The sequence below is a fragment of the Homo sapiens genome (assembly GCF_000001405.40).
Source record: "Homo sapiens chromosome 16 unlocalized genomic scaffold, GRCh38.p14 Primary Assembly HSCHR16_RANDOM_CTG1".
Lineage (NCBI taxonomy): Eukaryota > Metazoa > Chordata > Mammalia > Primates > Hominidae > Homo > Homo sapiens.
In genome coordinates, this window is record NT_187383.1 from 1,255,962 (window position 1) to 1,277,200 (window position 21,239).

At 39.7% G+C, this 21,239-nt stretch overlaps 1 gene segment (V, D, J or C); it reads left to right on the forward strand.

Annotated features, from left to right (window-relative positions):
* The first annotated feature begins 744 nt into the window (after positions 1 to 744).
* LOC112268316 (immunoglobulin heavy variable 3-23-like) lies at positions 745 to 2,352 on the forward strand. The segment is given in 2 exon segments: positions 745 to 825; positions 934 to 2,352. Coding segments are annotated over 2 exon segments (444 nt in total).
* Positions 2,353 to 21,239: the final 18,887 nt, after the last annotated feature.

Here is a 21,239-nt window from a genome sequence, read left to right on the forward strand (position 1 = left end):
ATTTTCTTTATCAAAGTTTACTATTATGCAGGTTAAATATGTGAATTTTATCATCTGTCAATTAAAACTCATAAAATGTATTACAAGTAAACAAGTGAAATTTTAGACAAAAAAGGGATGATAAGAAGGAACAAATGAATACATTAAATATCAGATACACCAAAAATTTATCTGCCTGATGCCTAGATGTTTCCGTATTTTTAGGTAAATGCAGCAAAATCACACAGGTTCTCGTGGCAGGAAGTGGATTCTGCAAACCACACTAGGCCCATTTAGCTCTGTCCAATAGTTGGTTAAGAGAGCAATTGAGGCCAGCTGTGAGGAGCATAGGCCCAGGTACTAGGACTCACTCATGCCAGATATAAGCCCTTAGACACATACATAGCCCCTCCATGTGTGGGTTCACTTTTACATCTGTAAACGAAGAAACCACTGAGTGCTAAATAACATCATTTATACACATAGGTAAAAATAATTAAAAATATGATAGTTGTTAAATGTTTATCGCACAACAATTTCACATTAAGACAGCATTTTCCCAAACACAATCATTGTCATCAAAATCCCCCAGGACGCTCTCATCTACTCTGGGCCCTGCCCTCTCCTCAGGAGTCCCACCCCATAGCTTGCTATATAGTAGGTGACATGCAAATAGAGCCCTCCCTCTCCTGATGAAAACCAGCCCAGCCCTGACCCTGCAGCTCTGGGAGTGGAGCCCCAGCCTTGGGATTCCCAGGTGTTTCCATTCAGTGATCAGGACTGAACACACAGGAATCACCATGGAGTTTGTGCTGAGCTGGGTTTTCCTTGTTGCTATATTAAAAGGTGATTCATGGAGAACTAGAGATATTGAGTGTGAATGGGCATGAATGAGAGAAACAGTGGGTATGTGATGTGTGGCAATTTCTGACCTTTGTGTCTCTCTGTTTGCAGGTGTCCAGTGTGAGGTTCAGCTGGTGCAGTCTGGGGGAGGCTTGGTACATCCTGGGGGGTCCCTGAGACTCTCCTGTGCAGGCTCTGGATTCACCTTCAGTAGCTATGCTATGCACTGGGTTCGCCAGGCTCCAGGAAAAGGTCTGGAGTGGGTATCAGCTATTGGTACTGGTGGTGGCACATACTATGCAGACTCCGTGAAGGGCCGATTCACCATCTCCAGAGACAATGCCAAGAACTCCTTGTATCTTCAAATGAACAGCCTGAGAGCCGAGGACATGGCTGTGTATTACTGTGCAAGAGACACAGTGAGGGGAAGTCAGTGTGAGCCCAGACACAAACCTCTCTGCAGAATGCTTGGGGGAAATCAGCTGCGGGGGGCACACAGGACCCACTGATCAGAGTCATCGCCAGAGGCAAGTTGCAGATGGAGGCTGGTTTCCTGTCAGGATGTGGGACTTCATCTTTTTAGAGTTTCTCTAGGGAATCTCTCTAAGTTCAGAATTCTGTGCTTACCAATGTCATCTCTACATATTTTTAAAATGATTATTTTAATATGAAAACCTATTCTCCTATGCACAAAACACAGATTGATGCTTACAGAGATGAAAAGCCCTCAACCATTGTCACCAGGATCAGAGTATTGAGGAAACTCAGGGATACCTGGTGAGTCTTCTCCAGTCAGACTCAGGACAGAAACCTCAGTGAGATTCCCTGACTAGGACGGTCTTTAGGAATTGTGATCACAGCCAATAGAGTCTGGGCCAGGGTCAGTGTCGTGTAGAACCTCACAGTTTTCATTCCTGACCCTTCTCCTGACACTAAAGTATGCAACTTAGTATCAGCACTGATCTGGGGCCCCTTTTGCTCTTAGCCCACTCTATTTCTTTTTATTTGTTGTTGTTGTTCTTGCTCTTCCTTGTGCTGTTCGTGCTTCCTGTAAAGTGGGGATGTGGTTCTTGCTGCCAAAGCTCGAGGTCTCAAGCCCATTCCCTGCAGCTGAGGTGGGGCTCAGGCTGTGGCTCCTGCAGCCATGTGGGAGAGGCTGATAGGACTTTTCTCTCTCCCATTGCTCAGCACCCTCCAGTGTGTCATGTGGAGACTCACCTGGGAATGCAAGTGGCCAACAGTAGTGAAGAGGATGAGCTTGTGTGGTCAAAATGGGATGTGGATGTGAAATTTATCCTGTGCTGTGCAAAGTACCACAGAGTGAGTCACCTTCCTCACCAGTAGTGTTAGAAAGAGGGTGTGAAAGTTGTCAGAATCAAAATAGATCCACTTGTGTTAAAACCCTGACAAAAGGAACTAGGAATGACCATGAAGGAGGTTTCCCATGCACATACTCCTGATAACAAGAACGACCATGAATGGATTCTGCTTAACCACAACCTTTGATAGAAGCCACCATGACCTTATAAAAATCACATCTACAAGGACATCTTCCCAGCAAATCACTGTTTAACCCTATATTGATGCCAACCTTGGTATTGACTCTACAAGCAAGGAAAATACTCTCAAAACAATTTATGTAACCCACCTCATTTTCACTAATAAACCTATGGATTGACATCCTGGAGTCACTGCTGCATTTGTTGTTAATTGTAATTAGCCCCTTTTACAATGTTTGTGACTGTTTTTCTCCGATGTCTCTTGGAAAATAAATAATTTACAAGTTGATGGCAGTAAAGAAGCTATTTAGGACATTTTTAACATCCTGTTGAATATTTCTGCATAGCACATCGATCCCCTAAAATACTTCGCTGTATTGGCATGTGATAAATCAGAGTATAATGCTGAAGGTAAAATGGAAAATACATGGGCTTTTGATGAATCAAGTCATAGGGTGATATTGTCTTTGCCCTTGAGGAAGCAGACCATGGGCTGTTAAGTTCTAGTGGGAGTACCTTTGGCAAAAGGATTTCATGAGTTTCTGAATGTTATGCTACTTTCAATTTAAGAATGCAACTTGTCATTTATTTTTACTTAAATTTTTCCAGAAGATATTTGGCAGTAAGGACAGGGTAGCATTCGTGTGATACTGATGACTTAGAGAATTATTTTGTAATTTCTCCTGTAAGGTATGCACATTGCTCACTCGATACAGAAGGTCAAATGTCACAGGTGGGAAAATAGGAATAAAGCAAATTTTATTAAATGTCATGACTGTAGTTTTTGGCAAGGAAGTGCTTCATGTCAACCTGAAAACAGACAGACAACAATAAAACATATTCAAACCCACAGGGAGTCAGACCTATGTCCTTCTCTCGTATAAGTACAAGGCCTTGCCACATCCAAACTATCCTTTAGGCTCCAGGGTATAAAATGCTTTTGGACTGTGGAAGCTAACAGCTCTCCCCTCAGGCAGGGCTAAGGTATCTGGGGAATGCAGAGTTGTGTTCACGAAGAAGATGGCATTATGTCTGTCTTCTCCTGTGCCTGGTGACGGCTCCCCCAGGGTGAGTGTCTCAGATGTGGGTCTATGGGGTGAGTGTAGGTACATGTGACTGACAGGGACTGATTCCCCATGTACTCACATGCCCTGTCCCAGGAGCAGCTGCAGGAGTCAGCCCTGGACCTGAAGAGCCTGCACTGCCCCTCTGCATCACCTGCACTGTTTCTGGCCACTCCATCACAACCAGTCCTTACTACTGGGCCTGGATCTGCCGGCTCCCAGGGAGGGGCTGAAATGGGTAAAATGCATTGCTAGTGGTGGTGGGAATCCATTCATCTTGTGGAAAATGGCAGCATCTCTTTATTTTATAAGGCAGAATCATGTTATATTGTATACACATACCACATTGTCTTTATCCATTTGTCCATCGACAGACACTTAGTTTCCATATCTTGGCTGTTGTGAATAATGCTACAATAATCACAGGAGAGCAGGTATCTTCACAAGGTGGTAATTTCATCCCATTTGGGTATATTTCCATAAGCTGGATCGCTGGTCATATGGTATGTCTGTTTTAATTTATTTAGAAGCCACCACACTGTTTTGCATAATGGTAATGATGGGAATGTAGAATGTCATAGCCACTATGAAGAACAGTTTTAGATTTGAGGTATAATCCAAAAACACATAGTGTTTGATCATGGTTCTCATATGAGGCTCTAATAAACCTAGTGGAAGTCCAGAAAGTTTTCCCACCTTGGGCAAGGATGAGTTTGCCCCTAATTATCTTTAAGGCAGAATATTTGCAGAATGTGAGATGGAGTCTGTTGGCAGGATTCAGGATGATTCAGTAATAAATAGTAATGGCACAGAAAAATAGGGAGTTAGAGACATGCAGAGAAAGAAAGAGATAGAGAGAATATGAATCTTGTAAGAGGAAAATCTGCTGGATATCAGTGTTGGGTTTTCATTCACAGAGACATCAGTGTGAGTGAGAAACCATGAATTCAAGTGAGGAGTGGAGAACATGTTCAGTCTGAAAATCAGCATATTCTCAGAGGCACCCATTGCCCCATGACACAGGTGGAGAATTTTGGAAACCAGTGAAGTATGAGTTCACAATAAGTGATGAAGTTATCATTTTTCCAAACTTTCATTAATATGCAAAGTATTTCTATAGATCACTCATGCATATACACACAAAATGTGTTTTTGCATTTATGGATGTCTAGAGAAAAATAAGTGAGAAAATTTTTCCAGGTTGCAGAGATCTGTTTAAGTTGCAGATTCCATAGGAATGGATACTGGTCTATTAATTAAATAGTTCAAAATTCTCTCTGTTGGAGCAGCCTTCCAATTATGTAGATTTCTTTATTGCTTCTTGAGTTGTGAAACATAAACCCAAGGATTGACTTACTGGAATTCGACTGGTGTGTTCATAAAATTTCTGATAAGTTTTCTCCCAATGATTTGAGAATAGCTTTCCTGTTTTTTTACTCAAGGAAATGAATTTTCACAAGGTTTCAGGACATCACATTTCAGGCGTTTTACTTAAAGAGACTCTGCCTGGGTGCAGTCAGCTTTCTTCTAACCATGAACTCACTTCTTCAGCAAACCATTCAGTTTGTGCCTCTATTAAGAATGATGAAGCTTTTAAACTTCAATGCACTGAAAATCATGCCCCTTGAATTAAATGTGGATTGGCACTGACATGAATTGGCCACTCTTGGATATGTATCCTATATTATGGGCTCAACTTATTAGCGGACTGAGAATCCTGCATTAGCTGCCTCTGACTGTGGCACTGACCAGATTGAGAATCCTCAGAGTCATCCATGGAAAAGAGAATCCTTAGGTTCATGGGGTTTTTGGAGACATTCAGGTGAGTGGAGGGGAGAAACAGGACTGGGGGTGGCCAGCCATTTCAACAATACTGGGAATGATTAGCATCTAAGTATAAAGGTCTGCATCACTCAAAACACCCTGCATGACAGGCTGACAGAAAGAAATCCAACCCCACAGTGGCTCCATAGCAACTCTTTAGTATACTTGGTAGTGAAGCTCTTTCAGGGAAGAAATGTCCACTCAAGGGACTCAGTGATGCTTCTCTGAGCTACAATAAACAGTGTATTGGACCCAGGTTTCTCTGAGTTCAATGTGATGATTACACTCAGCTGCTGCTCCGATGAGTTTAAATGAGCATGTGGCAATTTAGATGAGCCTGGCTGTGTGGTATGTTATATGTAAATCTGAACTATGTAAACATAAAGGGCATGTCTGAACTAGTGTGAGGGTGAGAGATCTTAGAGGCCGCACACCTCACACTCTTGTGCTTATTTGCTCCAGGAACCTCCAGGTTCTTCGAGTGAAAATCGACATAGATCCTTTCCTGGATAAATCATCCAAAGACCTAATCTCTGAGAAATACACACGTACATTTCTCCAGATAGACCATCCAGGGGAAAGACATATCTAGAACCTTATCTGTATTGGGTAAGGTAGTCCATCTCCATTACAGACCCTCCCAGCAGCCTTCCTTTATCATGAAAGTGGATAAAATTAGCCGATACTGAAATAATCCTATAATATTACAGCCAGAAAAGGGAAAGCATCAGTTTCATTTCTGGAGACTCTGAATATAGGTCACAGCCCAGAGAAAAAAAGGATGATTGAATTATTAAGAATCAATTGTAAGAACATATAATACTTCCAGGATGCACACTTTGTTTTCTCACCAGTATAATCTGGGTTAAAGATGAAAGTGTGGCAGTGCACAGACTCTATCTGAGGAGGAGAACATAGGGAAACTGAAAGACAATGGCAGAGAAAAAGACAAGGACAGTAGGAAAATCTGAAGCCTCTGACATAAATTTTTTGAAGAAAAGGTCTTGGCAAATCCATTGACCTCAGATTCTTTTATCATGGGGCATTTTCAGGGTTCCTAGCTGAGAAAAAATATTCATGCACTTCCCAAGTCTCCACTTGTATTCTGTTTGCCTTAGATCGCTAAGAGAAAAAAGCCATAAACCTAGGCCTAGTGTCTGTGTATGAGGCGCTTTTATAGGCTAGAAAATAGTAAGAAAGGAGAATATGTGTTATTGGAATAGCATATACAAAGGTGTCTTTATTCTGAATGTATCTGTACCTGCAGATATTCTCAGATGCAACATTCAACTGCAGGAGCCCAACGAAGAAACTAGGCATTCCCCAAATCCTACAAGTTTTTGTATTCATTAGGTGTCCACTGATTCAGGAAATGTGAAGCTTCAGAAAAGGGACTCCCTTCTGAGTCATAGAATCTTTTCTGTGGGTATCCCTCAGTAGGTTTAGTGAGGCTAATCAATTGTTAAAAGACATGGTGTCGGCAGCATATGGTGTCACTGGCAGAGAATTCTAAACCAGGACACAGCCACTTCATGCTGGGCTAGAGACTCTGAAGGAAAATATCTGTGAGCCCCGACAGAAACCTCATTGCAAGGCAAGAGCCTGGGTGAAAGGGGGCACTTGGGAGCCACCAAGCACAGGTTCCAGCCCTGGAGCAGGTGCACAGCTGGGGAGGAAGTTTCCTCTCAGGGCCTGGGTTTTCCTTTGTCAGGAAAAAACAATCTAAAATAACTGTTCAAAAAGTCGCTGACGTGCTTTAGGTATTCTATCACATCAAAACCATTCATATAACTTAAGGCACTGAGAACTATTTTTTGAAGTGGGTTTCTAGAACTATAATATCTTAGTAGTGAGAATATGAAGGATGGGCATGTTTTTACTAATTCTATGGGTACAGATTAGTTGAAGAAACTTCATTCCTATGAATAAGAAATTCAGATTTCAGTGTTAAGTAATGTTGCTTACATTGTGTGAGTGACAGGGCAGTAGTGGATCTGAGAGTGTGGCAGGTGCACAGACCAAGTGAGTCAGAAATCAATATGGAAAGGTGAGGGTCTGTGGATATGAACTGAAAGTATGTAAATACTTGACAAAATACTAATAAATGGAGTTCAAAAATAACCCAAAATTGTTCTAAACACAAATTCCTTGACAATTACTTTGGGAGTAGAGAGTTCATAATGGACTCCAAACTCCTGCTTTATCTTCTTCTGATTCCCATTTCTGTGAGATGAGAAAATCAGCTCTAATTATGCATCACAGGGCAAATCTGTAAACCAACAGTGTTCAATAGAATTGAAGATCCTGGGGGATCAGGACATGAGTCAGGTGCTGGAGACAGTGTCTCAGGAGCACCCAGTAGATCTCAGAGGTCCCTCCTGGACACTCATGTGGGACATAAGCGTCACTTTCTCAGAGTCAGCAATGAGCTGTGCTGGTGCCTGATGGGTCCAGGAAAAGACCAAGGCACCTGCTCAGTGTGATGGAGAGTGATGGTTCCAAAAATGATCCAGGTGGTCTCTATGCTAATCAAATATAGGCTTACAGTGAGGAGCCTGTTCTATATGGGCTTATTCTTCAGTGAAAGGATGTCTGTCCACAAATGTTTGTAAATGGAGCAGGGCATGCATTTCCTCAAGCAGGATTAGGACTTCGACCATCTTCATCTCACTCTTGTAAGGCTGATGTGTCATTTATCTTCCCTTTCTTATCACGGATTGGGCTTTGAGTTAAGAAAGGCTTTGTCTTATGAATATGCAAATATACTGATATCCACTGAGGTAAATATGTTCTGTGCCCTGAGAGAATCCCCTGAGAGCACATCTCACCATGGGCTGGACCTGCAAGATCCTCTTCTTGGTGGCAGCAGCCACAGGTAAGGGGTTCCCAGGTCCCAGTAATGAGGAGGGGATTGAGTCCAGTCAAGGGGGCTTTCATCCATCCTGTGTCCTCCCCACAGGTGCCCACTTCCTGGTGCAGCTGGTGCAGTCTGGGGCTGAGGTGAAGAAGCCTGGGGCCTCAGTGAAGGTCTCCTGCCAGGCTTCTGGATACACCTTCACCTACTGCTACTTGCACTTGGTGCGATGGGCCCCTGGACAAGGGCTTGAGTGGACAGGATTTTAGTTATTTGAGATATTTTTCATACAACATTTATTCTGCAAGCAAATTTCAGGGATTGTAGAATGAATCACATTAACAAATCTGATACAGAACTTCCTCTGAATCAATCTTTGTAAACATCAATTTCTGAATCAACGTTGTAAATACTTCGGAACACAAGCACAAGTTCACATTTTAACTCTACTTTTATCTCTATTTAAAAAATGCCAAAAAATCTCATTTTGTGCATGTAACGTTTTGAATTCCCACCATCAATGCATGACATTTCTTGTTTTTCCACATTCATGTTACCATTTATCATCATGAGTATTGTGAGTTTTAGCCATGCTGATAGGTGAGTAATGGCATCTAATATTTATTTAAATGCACATGTCCCAAATAAAAAAATTTATATTAAACAATTTTTATATAATTTTTGCTGAGATGCCTTTCCTGATATTTGGTTCATTTTTATCTCCATTGTTTTCTTTTCATTAGTTGTAAGTTTACTTGCATATTGATTATAAAAGTCATTTAACAAATTGAAAGAATTGATTTAACAAATATATGACTTGGAAGTATTTTCTCCCAGTCTGTGGTTGCCTTTTTCTCTCTTATCAGTGGGTATTTCAAAAAATATGTGTGTGTGTGTGTGTGTGTGTGCACAAATTTAGACAAAAAACATAAAAAATTATTCATTCATAGATCATGTATTTGGCATTATATCTGAAGTCTCATTATAAAATACACTAATACTGATTATTTATTCCATGTCTCTAATCTCAGGACACAATCAACTCATGAGTGTTTAGCCTTCACCTATTGATTGGAGGAATATCTGCCTGAGATATTTGGAATACTTCTATAAGAAGACGTGTTCTTCTTCCCATCGTTTCTTTGTTTAATCATCTATTAACATCCATATTGGTTTATGGATGTCTGTTTCATACTCTGAAGAAGATCCATGCTACATTATTCATTTTCTTGTTCAAATCTCCACAGCTTTATTAGGTGCTGGGAGCTCATTTAGTTTGGATCCTGCATCCTTACAGCAAAGCTGATCCTTTTGTTTTTGAACACTTCCCTGTTTCCTGATATTAAAATAGATTCTAAGCTTGTTTCTTTATCACCTTTTTCATACATAGAATTAGCCATTTATATAAAGATTGCTTGTTTCTGATTTTAAAGAATAGTGTTAAAATAAAATATTGTGATAATGGGTATGTGTGTTGTTAATGTGGTATAAGTACTTCTGGGACCTCTCAACCTTCTGTTCTAGTAAATGAGCATGTTTATATGAATCATGTTTATGGACCCATTGAAATTATGTATCTAATCTTCTGTAACTTGATTACATTAAAAATGAGCACACACTGGTCTCTCCACCCAACTATGCTGCCACATGGACCTTTCTAACCTTCCTTTCTTGACTGTCCATAACCATCCACTACAAAGTGAGGAATCCCATCCAACCATATGCCATTTGATTACTTAGTTGCACGATTTCAGGACACATGCATAGCGGTTTCAGAAATGTAATGCTGTACCCTTGTAGGAAACATGTTTATCTACTAGATAGAGTGCTTATGTGTGATTTCTTTACAATTTAAACTTAGAGAACCACCTCATTTTCAAAGTTGCTTACTTCAGGAACCTCATTTTCCACTTTCTTCAGTGAAGTCATTTCAATTGCACTGTATAGTTTCATTTATTTGAAATTCTGTAAAAGTCAAAACTATACTCAGGTAAACAGAGAGGATATTCCAGGAATTTAGAGAGTGGGTGTGAAATAAGTAAAACAGGCCTTGTTTAAGAAGAGTTAAGACTATTTTAGTGATATGCAATGGTTGAGACAAGACACAATTAATTTGTCCCAGCTCATAATTTTGTGATGGACAATATAAACCTAAATATACACAATTAAAAATATATTTAGGAATTCATTAACCCCTGGATAAAATGCAGACTGTACAAAATTATCTAATAACATATTTGGGAGTGTGGGGATATTATGAGATGCATGCAACAAAGGAGGAAGTAATTTTCCTCATTTACGTATAAGATGTTTCCATTTACTAAAGATATTTTTTTGAAAAAAATCAATTTTCTACTTGACCCAGGTTTTCTCTTCCTGATAAGCAAGTAACCCAGAGGATTCCTTTTCTTTCCTAGATTGAGAAAGATTTTTCCCAAACGTCAGCTGAGTTCAGGCATACCCTGCCCCTGAATGCTCATTTACCCTCAAATGGGTACACACACCTGTCAACATGTGGGCTCTTCTGTCAGACAAACACACCTTTACTCATGTGGATTCTTCCATCAGACAAACACACATGTCCCCACATGGACTCTTTCCTCAGACTACCACATATGTCCTTACATTTACTCTTTCCTCAGAAAACAGACATTTCCTCACGTTTACTCTTGTCTCAGACAAGCAAACACGTCCCCATGTGAACTCTTCACTCAGATAAGTACACATATGTCCACATTGACTGTTTCCTGACACAAGTCCATGTATCTGATGTTGAAATATGTTGCGAAAAGTGATCTCAAGATAATGATAATTATAAACCCCCTCCCTAACAAGGTGTAGATCTGCATTATTTTCATTGTAACTCAACTTTGCCACATGGTCAGGAACAGTGGTTTCCAGCTCTAAGTGTACTGATTACGGAGAGATGTCTGTTTTCTCTGGAAATGTATTTTTATGTTCTTACTGGATGTATTTGATGATAATGTTTTCTACTATGAAGATACCTGAATAGCGTCCACACTGGAGAATAAGAAAGAGTAATTGGCAGATTAACCCTGTGCCTCCAGACCCGGGAATCCTTTGACCCTGCCCTCCCTGAAATGGAGACACAGAGGACAGATGAGCAATGCCGAGTGGCGCACCCATGACCACAAAAAGAAAGACATGGAAATATGTCCCCTCCCCTCCTCATGAAAGGCAGCTCATCCCCTGTTCCTTCAGGCCCTGGTGAGGAGCCATCCCATGTGTGTGCCCTTCCTCAGTGTCCACACTGTGGGATCTGCACTGATCTGGGCTTCCCTTCTCATCACCCTCAGTATTAGTGGCCCTTGTGAATCAGGTCCAGCTGGGGCTGCTCCACATGCGGCTGTTCTCAGTCCATTCTCTCTGTGTTTGCAGAAGTCCTATGTGAAGTTCACTGGTGGAGTCTGAGGGGGAAAAATTGTACAGCCCAGCGGTTCACTGAGCCCCTCCTGCAAAGACTCTGGATTCACCTTCACAGATTGCAGCATCAGCTTGGGCCAGCAGACTCCAGGCCTGGGGTTGGTGTGGGTGGCAACAGGGAGAAATTCAAGGGGAAGTTTTTACATGCACCGTTACGTGCACGGTCTCACTGACATCTTTACTTCTTTTATCATGTTTGTTTTGTAAATCACAAAGAATGGTGCATTCTTCATCTATTCTATACTTGTTAAGTATTTTTGGCATCTTTTAAAAAACTGGTAACTTTATCCTATGTAATATCCCTGTTAAGTCCTAAAAGTCTTTTTTGATGTCTATTTTTTCTTAACTTTACACAGCTACTATAGATTTATTTTGGTTAACATTTTCATAATCCATGTTTTCTCATCTTTAGTTTTTACATTTGTGAATATGTACTGTAATTTTCTAATACATAGCTTCTAGTTGGGGCTTGTTTTTTTTAAATCAACTATAGTAAGTTCTATTTTTAAACTAATATTATTTTTCTGTTATCTTGTTTAAATTAGCACTTCACAATGACGTTTATTTCTCTATTAACATATAATCTAATTCACTTTTATAAATATTATATTGTTTACCATAAGGTTTACAATAAGAATTGTATATAATTAGATTGTATAAGAAGTGTATATAATTAGATTCTATAAGAATTGTATATAATTAGATTCTAATGCAGATACTGTGATGGCCTTGATATGAAGAACAGAGACAGTGTAACTGTGTGCTTTGAATTCCTCCTTCTCACCACTCTTTCTTGTTTATTCCCAGTTTGCACTTACATATGCTATAAAATATGTAATTTTTTATTCCTTTTACAGTTATATAATATAGCAATTACAAAGATAAAAACTGCACTTCATCTTGATTTTCTCATTTTGTAGTCTTAATTTCTTCGTATAGATTTATGTTTTGAATGTATATCACATGGCTACTAGCAGAGAAAGTTTGTTAAAATGTGCACTGAAGCATGAATGTGCTGACAATAAATTGTCTCAAGATCTTTTTTTAATGACAGAATTTTATTTGCCTTTCACTTTTAATGAAAATGTAATGCATGTAGAATTCCAGTTTGCATTTCACTTGTAATTTATTTTCTTGTGTTTATTATTTTATTCATGGAGACGATCACACATTACATTCTGCTGGGCCTATATTAACCACATTTCTATGAATCTAGTCAGGGTTGGATTTCAAGTGTATGGTTGCCACGGCTATCAGAGTTGAAGTCAGCTTCTCCTGTTCACAAAAAGTTCAGGTTCCTCCAGTGATACCCACTTTTGTGTCCCGGTTTGGCTCTTCCCATTTCTCTCCCCAGAGAGAGCCTGTCTCTTTCATCTGTGGCAGGTGCATCCTGCTGACACTTTTACTTGGTGATTGTTTGTGGGGTGAAGGGGCTTGGACACAGGGGGATGTTCTCCAACCTTCGGACCGAGCCTCCTTCTTAGCTATGGGTGGTGAGAGTGGCTCTGAAGCATGGTCTTCCAAGTGTTCCTGTTCCTTCCCTTCTCCAAGTCAGAGTGTCTCTTCCCAGCCACAGTGGTTTTTCGTCAGTGTCCTCAGCTTCTGACCCACTGTCCTTACCCCACAGACTCAGGACTTCATTCCTCAGGAAAGAGATGGGAGGTGATTCTGGGTAGAGTTTCCTTGGTGTCCTCTGTTTCCTTGTGTTCTAGTTGATTCTACCAGTGCCTGAAGGACACAAGATTTAATAAATGTCTCCCACATATCGTGAAGGGGGATTCAGCATTGAACACAGCTGCTATTCTTCCTCCCCAGTCAACACCACAGGACAGCAGGTGGGTGACTTGTCTGGGGATTTCCCCAATTCTGTAGGAAAAGCCTGCAAGTGCCGGGAGTTTCACACTCTCACACCCTTAGCACATACATCCTCAACAACTCATGAAACATTTCCAGGTTAGCTTTTTCCTATCTTCAATACTATACAACGAGTGGCACCTGCTCCAGGTACTCTAATAAATGGACCCTAGTTCTCTCTGCAGGCCCCTATTTCTCAGATTTCAGGGTTTTTTTCTCTGTGACATCAACTCAGATATGTTGAAGCGTTCATTTTTCGTAGTTGTTCAAGTTTCTTATTAATGAGGTCAGAAGAAGATCATTTTCTCAATTTTTTTACATTCCCATGCTTAGTATTTGCTTTCTAAATAAAATTCAGAAACGAAGACAAAATATCAAATATCCACTATTTGGTGCATTGTTAAACAATTTGAGAAATATTCATATACTGAAATACAATGAACAATTGAAATCAAGGCATGCCTCAGTCACATAAGAATGTGAGGACATTATCAAATAATTGTGCTGAGTGTAGGAAGCTAAAGAATTCACAGTAAATCTCCTGTGATTTCATTTGTATAAATTGTAGAAAATGCAACTATTCTAAATTAACATGGAGAAGATCTGAATTTTTCTGAGAAAAGTGTGGTGAGAGTAACAAGATGGTGAAATAAAATTACAGGGAAGTGAGAGAAAAAAATTAGAGGTTAATTTAATTGCTAATAGCATGATTGAAGTGCTGATTCAAAGGCTGCACACATATACCAACATTTTCCAAATTGTACACTATAAATTTGAATTCACTATGGATTGAATTTTTGAATAAAGCAGTAACAAAAAATGAGTATATTGGCTGAGGAAGAGGAAGAAAGAGATGAATATTGACACTTGAATAATCACGGACTCCTGAAAATACACACATGTGAACACTGATTGCATATTTCAGGTAAACACTAGAAAAAGCAAAGTCACATAAAGTTGTTATGACAGGTGGGACATCCTGAAAACCTCACTAGGCATGTCCCACATCGCCCTGGAGCTGTCTCAGGGGAGCAGTCTCCTCCAGTGTTTAGAGGCACAGACACAGGTAATAGGGCTAACTCTGGCCAGATGTGTGATATTGGACACATTGCACAACTGCTCTGTTATGTATGTAATTCATCTTCTCTACAAATGTAACATTGACACTTGCACTGAATATATTCTGCAAATGTGTAAACATTAAATAAGATGATGACTGCTAATTGATCATCAAGGCACAATCACATAATCTGAAGTTATATTTTCCTGAGAGATAGGATTACCTCCAATGTTTTCTGGGATGCTCTCATCTTCTCTGAGCACTGCCCTCTCCTCAGCTGTCCCACCACAGAGCTTGCTATATAGTAGGAGACATGCAAATAGGGCCCTCCGTCTGCTGATAAAAACCAGCCCAGCCCTGACCCTGCAGCTCTGGGAGAAGAGCCCCAGCCCCAGAATTCCCAGGAATTTCCATCTGGTGATCAGCACTGAACACAGAGGACTCACCATGGAGTTCGGGCTGAACTGGGTTTTCCTTGTTGCTATTATAAAAGGTGATTTATGGCGAACTAGAGACATTGAGAGGACGTGAGTGAGATAAGCAGTGAATATATGTGGCAGTTTCTGACCAGGTTGTCTCTGTGTTTGCAAGTGCCCAGTGTGAGGTGCAGCTGGTGGAGTCTGGAGGAGGCTTGGTACAGCCTGGGGGGTCCCTGAGACTCTCCTGTGCAGCCTCTGGATTCACCTTCAGTAACCACTACACGAGCTGGGTTCGCCAGGCTCCAGGGAAGGGACTGGAGTGGGTTTCATACATTAGTGGTAATAGTGGTTACACAAACTACGCAGACTCTGTGAAGGGCCGATTCACCATCTCCAGGGACAACGCCAAGAACTCACTGTATCTGCAAATGAACAGCCTGAGAGCCGAGGACACGGCTGTGTATTACTGTGTGAAACACAGAGTGAGGGGAAGTCAGTGAGAGCCCAGGCACAAACCTCCCTGAAGGGGTCCCAGAGACGACTAGGGGGCGCCAGGACACTGTGCACGGGGCTGTCTCCAGGGCAGGTGCAGGTGCTGCTGAGGGCTGGCTTTCTGCCATGGCCTGGGGCAGCCTCATCGTCAAATTTCCCCAGGGAACTTCTCCAGATTTACAATTCTATACTAACATTTGATGTCTCTAAATGGAAAACGGTTTTTTTTTTTTTGTTCCTTTGTTTTTGTAACAAGAGGAAACACCCTCACCTCCACAGAAGCCAGCGTGTCACTTTGGGGGCAGAAATAATCCTTTCATGGTCAGGATGAGAGTCCTGAGGAATCTCAGGGAAACCTGGAGAGTGTTTTCCAATTAGACTCAGAGCAGAGACCTCCATGGGAATCTCTGATTAGAACAGGCCTTGAGCTCTGATGGGAGCCAAGAGAGAGGCTCACCCAGGGTCAGGGTCCTTAAAACCTGATGGTTTTCACAGCTATCCCCTCTCAACTTGTAAAACTGTGCCCATCTGACTCAGACTGATTCAGCTGACCCTCTTTCTGCTGATCCATTTTCCATCTCTGTAGACTTGATTCTCACAGTTCCCTTTCTTCTTCTCTTCGCTGAAAACAGAAGATGTGTTTTCTGTAGTCAAAATTCCAGGGCTTGGGTCTGCAGGACCTGGGTAGGCTGAGGGGACTTTCTCACTCACCATTGTCTGGACACTCCTGTTGTCTTCTGTGCATGGAGGCATTTGGAAAATGTAGTGGACATTAGCCATGAAGGGAATAATACTAGTTTTCTCCAATGGGATATTGATGTAGAGCTGATCTTGTGCTTCTCACACTATCTGAGTTTGGACTCTCACCTGTGACTTTGAGAAGAGCTGGGGATGGGCACTCCATTGTGCTGTGAGCTCTGGGTAAAAATAATTGTAGAATCTGGCTAGGCAGTTTAAGGTCAATACTACTGGCCTTCGGGAAAGACAGGCTGGAATTCCTGGGAAGATCTGCATCTGCCGTCCACCACGGAGCCCCATCGTCTTCTGTTATGCTGTCTTTGAATCAGTCCCAACTAGATTATCTAGAACACTCTTCGTGACTTAGGAAAAAATAATGGCAGGCTCCACTAACACCTGTATTATGCCATGGGAGCAACACCTAGGCTACTGTGTGATTGAATAGATGAGACTACGGTCTAGTCAAGGTGACAGGTAAAATTGATTGTTGCCATTATGATATTTTATTTTATATTTGTCAATATAATCATGCTCATATTATAAATATTTTTTGAGACGGAGTCTTGCTCTGTCGCCAGGCTGGAGAGTGCAGTGGCACGATCTCAGCTCACTGCAACGTCTTCCACCTCCCAGGTTCAAGCAATTCTCCTGCCTCAGCCTCCCGAGAAGCTGGGATTACAGGTGCGCGCCATCATGCCTGGCTAATTTTTGTATTTTTAGTATCGACGGGGTTTCACCATGTTGGCCAGTGTGGTCTCGATTTCCTGACTTCGTGATCTGCACACCTCGGCCTCCCAAAGTGCTGGGATTACAGGCATGAGCCACCACGCCCGGCCTAGTTTTATTAATGTCTGTCCATACCAGCAACTACATACCTATGGGGACATTAATTTACATCTGCAGACATATGTGTAAATACACAAGCCTATACATACATGTGTAGTCATTTATATTTAACATTATAACAAAATAATTCTAAAATATTTTCTAAAGAATTAAACTTAATGATGAGCTAAATATAAATTAGAGTAATCTATAATTGATTTCAACAGTTCTCTATAGTTTACATAAATGGATGTCTATTTCTAAGCTTTAACATAGTGTATTTGTCATTTTAAAATAGTCAAGAAAAAATTACAAATGTTCTTGTCACAAAAAAGATAAGGATTTGACGAATTGAGGTAATATATATGTGAATTAACTCGATTCAATTATTCCATATTGCATTCACAAACCATAACATAGCTTTGTGCCCCATAAATGTATACAACCAAAATTTCTCCATTTTCAATGAAATTTTAATTATATATTTTTAAATCTGATGCCTCTCCTTGGATTAAGCCACCTCCTCAGGGTTACAGGGCTCTTCCATTTTCTCAACATGCTGTTATACCAGATGAGCACAAAAACATTAATTTCATTATGCTTAGCTTTAATTTTTCAAAACAACATAAAGGTGATAATTTTAACGATAGACGTATTACAACCTACTATACATGAGACCCTTTCCGTGCTTCAAGGTTTCTTCTCAGGATTTTACATGTATTGCAAATTTTCATTTTTCTCTGATATGGAATGCTGATTTCTCTTTATTACAGATTATCAGTTTATTTTTTAAATTTATCTCTTAAAATTAATTTTTTCAAAGTCCCACTCAAACCAGGGTATTATTAGAACTTTGAAGTGTAATAGTTGGACCAACTTTGAGAATACATTCAATTTAGTTCGCGTGCTCTCAAGCATCTTTTTTTTTCTTTAAAAGTTGTTATCAGTTGTAATATCACACAAAATATTAGTAATTTATACTAATGACACAGGTTAAAATATTGTATAAATAATTTAATTACATTTGATTGGAAAAAAGGAATATATGTTCCTCATGTCTTGACTTTTTTTCTTCTCTATGAAATGCATGCATATCAATTATTAAGTTTAAGATGTTACCTTTGTCTTTTTGATTTCTGGGATTTAATTTTAGTACATATACTTGAATGCATTTTATTAATTCATATAATAATGTTCATATTTTGGATAGGGTTTTAATATTAATTTTATTATTTACTGAATTTTAAACTATTCTACAGTTTATTTTTTGTTTTTATGAGATAAAATTTACATATAATAAAATATGCATAGATCTGAAATGTATCACTAGAGAGTTTCTGGCAAATGTGAATACCCTTGTTCTCAATACCTAAGGTAGCTGAAGAGCAAGTCCATCCCCACATCGCGGGTTTTCCCTGTTCTTGCGGTCAACTCCTGCAAGGGGAAACGTTTTGATTTCTGACACTACAGATCCATTTATTTTCTGTTTTGAACTTTATATAAATGGAATCAAACATTATAGACCTTTTTTTCAAAAGGGGCTTTGATATTTTTGAGATTAATTCATACTATTTAATGTATAAAATTAGATCAACATATTGTCATTTATTCGATTCGTAGACTGACTCTGATATGAAACCTCAAAGTTTTCATGTACTTATGGAGAGAGAGAGAGGAAGGAGAAAGATTTTATATCTGAGTCAGTGCATTAAGTAAATAAATGAGAATATTTTGATTTATTTTCCTGTTGATGTACTTTAAATTTGTTTCCATTTTATGAATATTATAGGCAAAGCTGTTTCAAATATATTAGTGTAGGTTTTCCTATATTGTTTCATTTTTGTTAAGAAAATATGAAGTATGTATTTCTTTTTTATTTTTGATTACTATTTATTTCTATTTTAAATTTTACTTTAAGTTCTGGGATACATGTGCTGAACATGTAGGTTTCTTACATAAGTACACATGTGCCGTGGTGGTTTGCTGCACCTATCAATCTGTCATCTAGGTTTGAAGCACCTCGTGCATTAGGTATTTGTCCTAATGCTCTCCCTCCCCTTTCCTAATGCTTTTTCTCCCCGACACATCCCAGTGTGTCATGTTCCCCTCCTTGTGTCCATGTGTTCTCATTGTTCAACTCCCACTTATGAGTGAGAACATGTGGCGTTTGGTTTTCTGTTCCTGTGTTAGTTTGCTGAGGATGATGGCTTCCAGCTTCATCCATGTCCCTGCAAAGGACCTGAAATCATTCTTTTTTATGGCTGCATAGTAGTTCATGGTGTACATATGCCACATTTTTTCATCCAGTCTATCATTGATGGACATTTGAGTTGGTTCCACATCTTTGCTATTGTAAATAGTGCTGCAATAAACATACATGTGCATGTGTCTTTATAGTAGAATGATTTATAACCCTTTGGGTATATACCCGGTAATAGGACTGCTGGGTCAAATGGTATTTCTCGTTCTAGATCCTTGAGGAATTTCCACACTGTCTTCCACAATGGTTGAACTGATTTACACTCCCCCCAACAGTGTAAAAGTGTTCCTATTTCTCCACATTCTCACCAGCATCTGTTGTTTCCAGACTTTTTAATGATCAACATTCTAACTGGCATGAGATGGTGTCTCATTGTGATTTTGATTTGCATTTCCCTAATGACCAGTGATAATGAGCTTTTTTTTTCATATGTTTGTTAGCTGCATAAATGTCTTTTTCTGAGAAGTGTCTGTTCATGTCCTTCACCCACTTTTTGATGGGGTTGTTTGGTTTTTTTTCTTGTAAATTTGTTCAAGTTCCTTGTAGATTCTGGATATTAGAACTTTGTCAGATGGATAGATTGCAAAAATTTTCTCCCATTCTGTAGGTTGCCTGTTCATTCTGATGATAGTTTCTTTTGCTGAGCAGAAGCTCTTTAGTTTAATTAGATCCTGCTTGTCAATTTTGGCTTTTGTTGTAATTGCTTTTGGTGTTTTAGTCATGAAGCCTTTGCCCATGCCTATGTCCTGAATGATACTGCCTATGTTTTCTTCTAGGGTTTTTGTGGTTTTAGGTTTTACATTTAAGTCTTTAATGCATCTAGAGTTAATTTTTGTATAAGGTGTAAGGAAAGGATCCAGTTTCAGTTTTCTCCATATGGCTACCCAGTTTTCCCAGCACCATTTATTAAATAGGGATCATTTCCCCATCGCTTGTTTTTGTCAGGTTTGTTGAAGATCAGATGGTTGTAGATGTGTGGTGTTATTTCTGAGGCCTCTGTTCTGTTCCATTGGTCTATATAACTGATTTGGTACCAGTATCATGCTGTTTTTGTTACTGTAGCCTTATAGTATAATTTGAAGTCATGTAGCATAATGCCTTCAGCTTTGTTCTTTTTGCTTAGGACTGTCTTGGCTATACGGGCTGTTTTTAGTTTCATATGAAGTTTAAGGTAGTTTTTTCTAGCTCTGTGAAGAAAGTCAATGGTAGCTTGATGGGAATAGCATTGACTGTATAAATTGCTTTGGGCAGTATGGCCATTTTAACAATATTGATTCTTCCTATCCATGAGCATGGTATTTATTTATTATAAAAGTAACTTTATTTTTTTCAGTTTTACTGAGGTACAACTGAAATATTTTTAAATGTATATGTTTAAGGTGCACCACTTCATGTTTTGATATTGTGTTAGTCCAGTCTCACACTGCTATAAAGAAATGCCTGAGACTGAGTAATTTGAAACAAAAAAATAGATGCTTAATTGGCTCATTTTTCTGCAGACTGTACAGGAAGTGTAGTGGCTTCTCCTTCTGGTGATACTCAGGAAAGTTAGAACCATAGCAGAAGACAAATAGTAGTAGACACGTCACATGGCCAGAGCAGGGGCCACAGGAAGAGAGGGAGGTCTACACAGTTAGACAAACAGATCTTATGATAACTCACACAATATTATGAGAACAGCACCAAGAGTCGGTGCTAAACCATTCATGAAAGACCCACCCCCTGACCCAAGCCTCTCCCACTGGGTCCCAGCTTCAGGATTGAGGGTTATAATACAACACGAGATTCAGGCCAGGACAAGTTGCAAACCATATCAGATACACATTGTAAAATGCTCATCATGATCAAGGTAATTTGTGTATCTATCATCTCACATACATTTTTTTTAAATGGAGTGTGTGTGTGTGTGAGGGGAGAATATCTAAGATCTACCCTTTCAGCAAAAATCACTTTTATAACACAGTATTAAATACAGGAACATTGCTGTACATTAGATCTCCAGAACTCATTCAACCTGCACACCTGAAATTCTGTACACTTTAAACATCACCCAATTTCCCTCTCCTCCCGCATCCTGGGACCCA